Source organism: Homo sapiens, chromosome 1 (assembly GCF_000001405.40).
Source record: "Homo sapiens chromosome 1, GRCh38.p14 Primary Assembly".
Lineage (NCBI taxonomy): Eukaryota > Metazoa > Chordata > Mammalia > Primates > Hominidae > Homo > Homo sapiens.
This window is the reverse complement of record NC_000001.11, coordinates 118,572,417-118,582,277: the sequence shown is the minus strand read 5'-3', so window position 1 is coordinate 118,582,277 and position 9,861 is coordinate 118,572,417. Positions and strand designations below refer to the sequence as shown.

At 38.7% G+C, this 9,861-nt stretch overlaps 1 annotated feature.

Moving 5' to 3' along the window:
• Positions 8,389 to 8,952: an enhancer, noted in NCBI's record as "NANOG-H3K27ac-H3K4me1 hESC enhancer chr1:119115949-119116512 (GRCh37/hg19 assembly coordinates)". NCBI's record gives its function as "activates a minimal SCP1, AML or CMV promoter by ChIP-STARR-seq in naive H9 embryonic stem cells {active_cell/tissue: H9 hESC(naive)}" and the evidence as "EXISTENCE:reporter gene assay evidence [ECO:0000049][PMID:30033119]".

Genomic DNA, 9,861 nt, shown 5'->3' with positions numbered 1-9,861 from the left:
CCTAATACAATGATAATGCAATGTAATAGCTGCTATGCTATACATTTTTTATTTGTGTGGTTATTTTTTATTTTTTATTTTTTATTATTTTTCATCTGTGATTGGTTGAACCAATGAATGCAGAACCTGTGGATATGAAGGGCTGACTCCCTAGTGTTTATACCAATCTCTCTTATTACTATAGGCCTTAAACTCAAGCTAAAAAAAGGTAGTATTAACATAATATATTTTTAGTGACCTCAAATTGTGTGTGTTTGCCTGAATGTGTCAGCCTCACTTATTTTGTCCATAAAAACCAAGGAGAAAGTAAAAGTAATTATCCTTGCATGACTTTTAAAAGAACCTGTTTAAAATGAGCTACCAGGTAGAGGAACAGAAAAGAAAGAACCCTTTGGTAATGGTATTTACATTTCCAGTAGCTACTAGCCCGCTGTTTGAGTAACTGTTCTAATTTTTCAATCATAAACCAAATTTACCTTTGCAGCAAAACAACTTGGTCAGTTTTTACCTAACGGCAATTCTGTAAAATTTTAAATAAAAGGGAAAAAAGCCCACTAATTCCAACTTTACCAGGTGCTTTTTACACAGTGAAAAAACTTTATCCCTAAATTAATAAAATCCACAGGCTACCAACAGAAATCCAGTTAATAAAACTATTCCTAAAAAGAAAACCTGAAAAATAAAACTTTAAAACTATTTAATTTGTGAGGTGTGGGGATAACAAGAGTGGCAGAAAGTGCACAAGAGAGAAGGTGACACGAATCTCAGCCCAGTGGTTTGGATGTGGTATAAAGTCAATGAAAGAACATCTGTGGTGATGATGAACCATGATAATGGTGAGGAATATAGCTAGATCACTTAGAAGATTATGTATTATCCTGAAATTACTTTCATTAAGCCTTACCATGCACTTAGAGTTATGGAGTTTCTGGATCAGTTCCTTGAAGAAACCTAGTCAGAGCCAACTCTGCCCTACCCTCTTGATGTAGCTGCCATGTTTCCAGCAGTCACAGGCCCTTGTCACCGTGTTCACCTACATGGCTTATGTATGTCTTGAACCAATACTTCATTTTTACAACCTGCTTTCCAACTTCTCCCTGATCTTCTTGGTGACTAACTACTATTTTTATTTTCCTTATTCAGTTTACACTAAGATAGTGGACTTGGGAATTAATATTTCTCCTTTGGCTCTGATCTGTGGCTTCCCTCTGAAACTATACTTTGATCTCGCCCATTTAATAATGCTGTTTCCAGTCTCCCTAGTCCAGGGCTGCCCTTCTCTCCTATTCTTGGCATCACTCCATGTGGCTAGCACCCCTGGCTCTACAAATGGGATGTAGTCAGGAACCGATTTAACAATCATTAAGACAGATTCTTACTGCATAGATATGAAACCAAGACCCCAAAATGATGGAAGCCCTGTATTGGGTCACATACTCAGCATCAAAAGGATCAAACTTACCCCTGATCTCTTGAATCTACTCATTTTCTAATTTTATCTTTATATATCACTGTGTTTTCTTCCTTACACTTGAAACTTGGTCTATCTTGGACTATTCAAAGGACTCAATAGCCAGTTCTTTGTAGGAAGATGCAATAAGAGTTCACAAAATGTTCTCAGACTTACACATTTTAAATATTATTTCCTACAGGTGTACACATGGTTAGAACTGATAACCTGCCTGCCTGGCCTGTAGTTGAATCTAGAGTTTGATATCGCATTAACACTACACTCCCCTAAAGTCAAACTGATCTTTATTTTTCTTTTTCAGTTTTCCATATGAAAAACTGGTTAAAGACAAAAACTTACTGCATACTGCAACCAAGTAGAATATTTGATTCTAATAGAAAGTTGGCATAGACAACTTCACCATGGTTCAAGTTTATATCCACCAAAATTAAGGGTTCTTTATAATTTTTCTGACCACTGTACCCAAGCCCAGAGAAGATACTGACTGGGAGGAGGAGAGATGCCACTTCTGGGCAGCTAGCACTGCAGGGCCCTTCCCCAGGAGCTTACTGATAAAATGTACTCTACTGGAGCTCTGGGATTTAACAAACCTGTGTGGATCACAATGGAGATTTTATACTTAAAGCCTGCAAGTTGAACATGACAGACTAAAAAATGTGCCCAATTGGAATAAAATACCTTGATATTAAAAAATTACTATTCCAAGAGAGTACTATTCCAAGCAAAAGAGAATCAAGCCAGATGAGATGTAGAAAGTTTAGAAGTCATCACTTCATCTTAAAAAGTAAAAAGCTGAACAAATTGCCAGTCAACTCTTCTTAAATCTGTCAGAGAAGTGAGGTCACAAGGCAAATTGCTGTTCCCAAAATTGGAGAGACAGATAAGCAGAAACAGAGAATTGTAACTTAGCAAAGCAGAAACCTCCAAAAGAACCAATACTGGGGAAGGAAAATCTAAACTGTAATCTACAAATTTCTAGAGGCTCAGTGTGGACAACTCTGAAAGTTAGAAACTCCAGGAGGACCTAGTTATAGCAGGGGTCCCCATAATTTTGTGAGTTTTACTTACGATATCTCTACTAGGTCCTCACAGTGAATTTTAAAGAAAACTTCCCTTGCAATTCCTGCAGGGGTAGGGTAAAAGGACCAATTTTGAAATACACCAGAGTATTCCATTTTCTTAACAAAACCTGTCCTTTGGGAAATCTATTTAATCAGAGCTTCACCTGCTGAGATTTTATTTGAACTTAACCTACCGGGGGTGGGGGGAGGTGTGGGGAAATGCATATATGTTTATAACTATTACATCTTCCTTTTGATTTGATCCCTTTCTTTATTATATAATGAACTTCTTTGTCTTGTGTATCAATTTTTGAGTTAAATTCTATTTTGTCTAAGTATGTATAGCCCATTTCTTTCTTTAGTTACTATTTGTATAGGATATCTTTTTCACTTTCAGTATGTCCATAAATCTAAAGTGGGTCTCATGTAGATAGAATATAGTTGTATCTTGTTTTTATCCATTTAGCCACTCTGTGTCTTTTGATGGATTATTTTGATCCATTTACATTTACAGCTAAAGTAATTATTGATAAGTAATGACTAACCTTTGCCATTTTCTTAATTGCTTACTGTCTCCTTTGTAGTTCTTTTGTTCATCTCTTCTTCTCCTGCTGTCTTCATTTGATATTTGATAAATTTTTGTAATACCTACTTTGATTCTTTTTATCTTTTTTGTATCAACTATGTTTTTTTCTTTGTTGTTACTACAAGGCTTGAATAAAAGTTCATATTGTTATGGGTCTATTTTGAGCTGGTAACAATTTAACCTTGTTTGCACACAAAAACTCTATACATTTACTCCCTCTACCTCCTCCACATTATGTTCCCAATATTGAAATTCACTTATTTATATTTTGTATCCATTAACCAACATTTTTGGTTATATTTTTCTTAATACTTTTGTATTTCAACTTTTATATTAGGGTTAAAAATATTCACACACCACCATTACATTTATTATATAATTCTTCATTTGTCTGTATTTTTTACCAGTGAGATTTATGCTTTTACATGTGTTCATGTTGCTATTTAGGATCCTTTCTCTTCAACTTGAAGAGTTACCTTCATCTTTTCTTGTAAATCAGGTCTAATGGTGATGAACTCTTTCAGTCTTATTGTTTGTTTGGGAAAGTATAGATCACTCCTTCATTTTGAAAGTATAGTTTTGCTGGTTATAGAAATCTTGGTTGACAAGATTTCTTTTTTTTCTTTAAGCTTTAACTATATCATCTCACTCCTTTTTGGCATGCATTTTTTCTGCTGAGACATCCATTTATTGAGAGTCTTCTGGAGATTCCCCTGTGTGCAACAAGTCATTTTCTCTTGTGCTTTCAAAAATTTTTTTTGTCTATGACTTTTGACAATTTAATTATAATATCTTGATGCAGGCCCCTTTAGGTTTAATCTACTTGGGGTTTTGGGCTTCATCAATTTGGATTTTCATTTCTTTCTACAGATTTGGAAATTTTTCAGTCACTATATCTTTAAATAAGCTTATAAGCTATTTTCTCCTTTCTCTCACTCTTTTCTTTCTGGTAGTATTATAATACATATGCTAGCTTACTTGATGGTGTCCCATAACCTCACTTGATGGTGTTCCATAATTCCCAAATGCTTTCTTCACTCACCTTTTATCCTTTTTTTTTAATTTAAGTTTTAGGGTACATGTGCACATTGTGCAGGTTAGACACATATGTATACATGTGACATGCTGGTGCACTGCACCCACTAACTCGTCATCTAGCATTAGGTATATCTCCCAATGCTATCCCTCCCCCCTCCCCCCACCCCACCACAGTCCCCAGAGTGTGATATTCCCCTTCCTGTGTCCATGTGATCTCATTGTTCAATTCCCACCTATGAGTGAGAATATGCGGTGTTTGGTTTTTTGTTCTTGCGATAGTTTACTGAGAATGGTGATTTCCAATTTCATCCATGTCCCTACAAAGGACATGAACTCATCATTTTTTATGGCTGCATAGTATTCCATGGTGTATATGTGCCACATTTTCTTAATCCAGTCTGTCATTGTTGGACATTTGGGTTGGTTCCAAGTCTTTGCTATTGTGAATAATGCCACAATAAACATACGTGTGCATGTGTCTTTATAGCAGCATGATTTATAGTCATTTGGGTATATACCCAGTAATGGGATGGCTGGGTCAAATGGTATTTCCAGTTCTAGATCCCTGAGGAATCGTCACACTGACTTCCACAATGGTTGAACTAGTTTACAGTCCCACCAACAGTGTAAAAGTGTTCCTATTTCTCCACATCCTCTCCAGCACCTGTTGTTTCCTGACTTTTTAATGATTGCCATTCTAACTGGTGTGAGATGGTATCTCGTAGTGGTTTTGATTTGCATTTCTCTGATGGCCAGTGATGATGAGCATTTTTTCGTGTGTTTTTTGGCTGCATAAATGTCTTCTTTTGAGAAGTGTCTGTTCATATCCTTCGCCCACTTTTTGATGGGGTTGTTTGTTTTTTTCTTGTAAATTTGTTTGAGTTCATTGTAGATTCTGGATATTAGCCCTTTGTCAGATGAGTAGGTTGCAAACATTTTCTCCCATTTTGTAGGTTGCCTGTTCACTCTGATGGTAGTTTCTTTTGCTGTGCAGAAGCTCTTTAGTTTAATTAGATCCCATTTCTCAATTTTGCCTTTTGTTGCCATTGCTTTTGGTGTTTTGGACATGAAGTCCTTGCCCATGCCTATGTCCTGAATGGGAATGCCTAGGTTTTCTTCTAGGGTTTTTATGGTTTTAGGTCTAACATTTAAATCTTTAATCCATCTTGAATTGATTTTCCTATAAGATGTAAGGAAGGGATCCAGTTTCAGCTTTCTACATATGGCTAGCCAGTTTTCCCAGCACCATTTATTAAATAGAGAATCCTTCCCCCATTGCTTGTTTTTCTCAGGTTTGTCAAAGATCAGATAGTTTTGGGTACGCGGCATTATTTCTGAGGGCTCTGTTCTGTTCCATTGATCTATATCTCTGTTTTGGTACCAGTACCATGCTGTTTTGGTTACTGTAGCCTTGTAGTATAGTTTGAAGTCAGGTAGTGTGATGCCTCCAGCTTTGTTCTTTTGGCTTAGGATTGACTTGGCAACACGGGCTCTTTTTTGGTTCCATATGAACTTTAAAGTAGTTTTTTCCAATTCCGTGAAGAAAGTCATTGGTAGCTTGATGGGGATGGCATTGAATTTGTAAATTACCTTGGGCAGTATGGCCATTTTCACGATATTGATTCTTCTTACCCATGAGCATGGAATGTTCTTCCATTTGTTTGTATCCTCTTTTATTTCCTTGAGGAGTGGTTTGTAGTTCTCCTTGAAGAGGTCCTTCACATCCCTTGGAAGTTGGATTCCTAGGTATTTTATTCTCTTTGAAGCAATTGTGAATGGGAGTTCACTCATGATTTGGCTCTCTGTTTGTCTGTTCTTGGTGTATAAGAATGCTTGTGATTTTTGTACATTGATTTTGTATCCTGAGACTTTGCTGAAGTTGCTTATCAGCTTAAGGAGATTTTGGGCTGAGACAATGGGGTTTTCTAGATATACAATCATGTCATCTGCAAACAGGGACAATTTGACTTCCTCTTTTCCTAATTGAATACCCTTTATTTCCTTCTCCTGCCTAATTGCCCTGGCCAGAACTTCCAACACTATGTTGAATAGGAGTGGTGAGAGAGGGCATCCCTGTCTTGTGCCAGTTTTCAAAGGGAATGCTTCCAGTTTTTCCCCATTCAGTATGATATTGGCTGTGGGTTTGTCATAGATAGCTCTTATTATTTTGAAATACGTCCCATCAATACCTAATTTATTGAGAGTTTTTAGCATGAAGGGTTGTTGAATTTTGTCAAAGGCTTTTTCTGCATCTATTGAGATAATCATGTGGTTTTTGTCTTTGGCTATGTTTATATACTGGATTACATTTATTGATTTGCGTATATTGAACCAGCCTTGCATCCCAGGGATGAAGCGCACTTGATCATGGTGGATAAGCTTTTTGATGTGCTGCTGGATTCGGTTTGCCAGTATTTTATTGAGGATTTTTGCATCAATGTTCACCAAGGATATTGGTCTAAAATTCTCCTTTTTGGTTGTGTCTCTGCCCGGCTTTGGTATCAGAATGATGCTGGCCTCATAAAATGAGTTAAGGAGGATTCCCTCTTTTTCTATTGATTGGAATAGTTTCAGAAGGAATGGTACCAGTTCCTCCTTGTACCTCTGGTAGAATTCGGCTGTGAATCCATCTGGTCCTGGACTCTTTTTGGTTGGTAAACTATTGATTATTGCCACAATTTCAGCTCCTGTTATTGGTCTATTCAGAGATTCAACTTCTTCCTGGTTTAGTCTTGGGAGAGTGTATGTGTCGAGGAATTTATCCATTTCTTCTATTTATTTTTGTTCTTCTGACTGCGTAACTGCAAATGACTTGTCTTCAAGTTCATTGATTGTTTCTTCAGTTTGATTAAATCTGCTGTTGAAGCTCTTTATTGAATTTTTCAGTTCAGTCATTGTGTTCTTCATCTCCAGAATTTCTGTTTGTTTCTTTTTAATGATGTCTATCATTTTGATGAACTTCTAATTTTGTTCAGGCATTTTTTTAATTTCATTTTGTTGTCTATCTTTATTTCCTTGCAGCTCAATGAGCTTCCTTAAGGTGACTATTTTGAATTACTTGTTGGGTAGTTTGTAGATCTCTATTTCTTTAGGGCTGTTTTCAGAACTTTATTTTGTTTCTTTTGTCATGTCATTTTTCTCTCATTCTTCATAATCCATGTGGACTTGCATTGGGATCTGTTTATTTGAAGAAGTCATCATCCTTCCCAGTCTTTACAGACTAACTTATTTATGGAAAGCTCTTCACCAGTCATCTTAGTTAAGGGTTTTGGACAAGACTGCCTGCTGCCAAGTGGACCTGATACCAGGATTGGTGGCTAGCAGGCCAGGTGCCAGTGTCCACAATTGAAAGTTGAATACTCAATTCACTCTCACTTTCCTGGCTTTGTGCCTAGGATTGAAGCAAAGCTGAACACTAACTTTACTCTCACTTTTCCCCCATGAGAGAACTCTTTAGCTGAGGGATCTCTCTCAGTGATGCACTGTGTGGGTTATATTCTGGAGCTCTTGTGAAGATATTTTCATCTGTGGATGATTGTCAAATTGGTGAGGGGATAGATAGGGACTAGAAACTTGTACTTCTATGCTGCCATCTTGCTGATTTTGCAAATAAGTTTTTATTTTAAGCAGATCCAATTTACAATTGTTCCTTTTGTATTTAGTCCTTGGTATGGCCTAGCTAAGAAATCATTGCTTGCTCAATAACGACAAAGACACTCTCCTATGTTTATCTTAACATTGATATGATTTTATATTTTATGACTGGAATTCACCTTCAGTTAATTTTGTGTATGCTATGACTTTATATAAAACTTTCAAATCAGGTAGTATAAAACTCCAAGCTTCTTTTTACTTTTAAAGATTCTTCTCCGGGAGGAGCCAAGATGGCCGAATAGGAACAGCTCCAGTCTACAGCTCCCAGCATGAGCAATGCTGAAGACGGGTGATTTCTGCATTTCCATCTGAGGTACCGGGTTCATCTCACTAGGGAGTGCCAGACAGTGGGTGCAGGTCAGTGGGTGCATGCACCGTGCCCGAGCAGAAGCAGGGCGAGGCATTGCCTCACTCGGGAAGCGCAAGGGGTCAGGGAGTTCCCTTTCCTAGTCAAAGAAAGTGGTGACAGACAGCACCTGGAAAATCGGGTCACTCCCACCTGAATACTGCGCTTTTCCGATGGGCTTAAAAAACGTTGAACCAGGAGATTATATCACACACCTGGCTTGGAGGGTCCTATGCCCACGGAGTCTCACTGATTGCTAGCACAGCAGTCTGAGATCAAACGGCAAGGCGGCAGCGAGGCTGGGGGAGGGGCGCCCGCCATTGCCCAGGCTTGCTTAGGTAAACAAAGCAACCAGGAAGCTCGAACTGGGTGGAGCCCACCACAGCTCAAGGAGGCCTGCCTGCCTCTGTAGGCTCCACCTCTGGGGGCAGGGCACAGACAAACAAAAAGACAGCAGTAACCTCTGCAGACTTAAATGTCCCTGTCTGACAGCTTTGAAGAAAGCAGTGGTTCTCCCAGCACGCAGCTGGAGATCTGAGAATGGGCAGACAGCCTCCTCAGGTGGGTCCCTGACCCCTGACCCCCTGAGCAGCCTAACTGGGAGGCACCCCCCAGCAGGGGAAGACTGACACCTCACATGGCCGGGTACTCCAACAGACCTGCAGCTGAGGGTCCTGTCTGTTAGAAGGAAAACTAACAAACAGAAAGGACATCCACACCAAAAACCCACCTGCACATCACTATCATCAAAGACCAAAAGTAGATAAAACCACAAAGATGGGGAAAAAACAGAGCAGAAAAACTGGAAACTCTAAGAAGCAGAGCACTTCTCCTCCTCCAAAGGAACACAGTTCCTCACCAGCAGCGGAATAAAGCTGGACAGAGAATGACTTTGATGAGCTGAGAGAAGAAGGCTTCAGACGATCAAATTACTCCGAGCTACGGGAGGACATTCAAACCAAAGGCAAAGAAGCTGAAAACTGAAAAAAATTTAGAAGAATGTATAACTAGAATAATCGATACAGAGAAGTGCTTAAAGGAGGTGATGGAGCTGAAAACCAAGGCTTGAGAACTACGTGAAGAATGCAGAAGCCTCAGGAGCCAATGCAATCAACTGGAAGAAAGGGTATCAGTGACAGAAGATGAAATGAATGAAATGAAGCGAGAAGGGAAGTTTAGAGAAAAAAGAATAAAAAGAAATGAGCAAAGCCTCCAAGAAATATGGGACTATGTGAAAAGACCAAATCTATGTCTGATTGGTGTACCTGAAAGTGACGGGGAGAATAGAACCAAGTTGAAAAACACTCTGCAGGATATTATCCAGGAGAACTTCCCCAGTCTAGCAAGGCAGGCCAACATTCAGATTCAGGGAATACAGAGAACGCCACAAAGATACTCCTCGAGAAGAGCAACACCAAGACACATAATTGTCAGATTCACCAAAGTTGAAATGAAAGAAAAAATGTTAAGGGCAGCCAGAGAGAAAGGTCAGGTAACCCTCAAAGGGAAGCCCATCAGACTAACAGCAGATCTCTCGGCAGAAACTCTACAAGCCAGAAGAGAGTGGGAGCCAATATTCAACATTCTTAAAGAAAAGAATTTTCAACCCAGAATTTCATATCCAGCCAAACTAAGCTTCATAAGTGAAGGAGAAATAAAATACTTTACAGTCAAGCAAATGCTGAGAGATTTTGTCACCACCAGG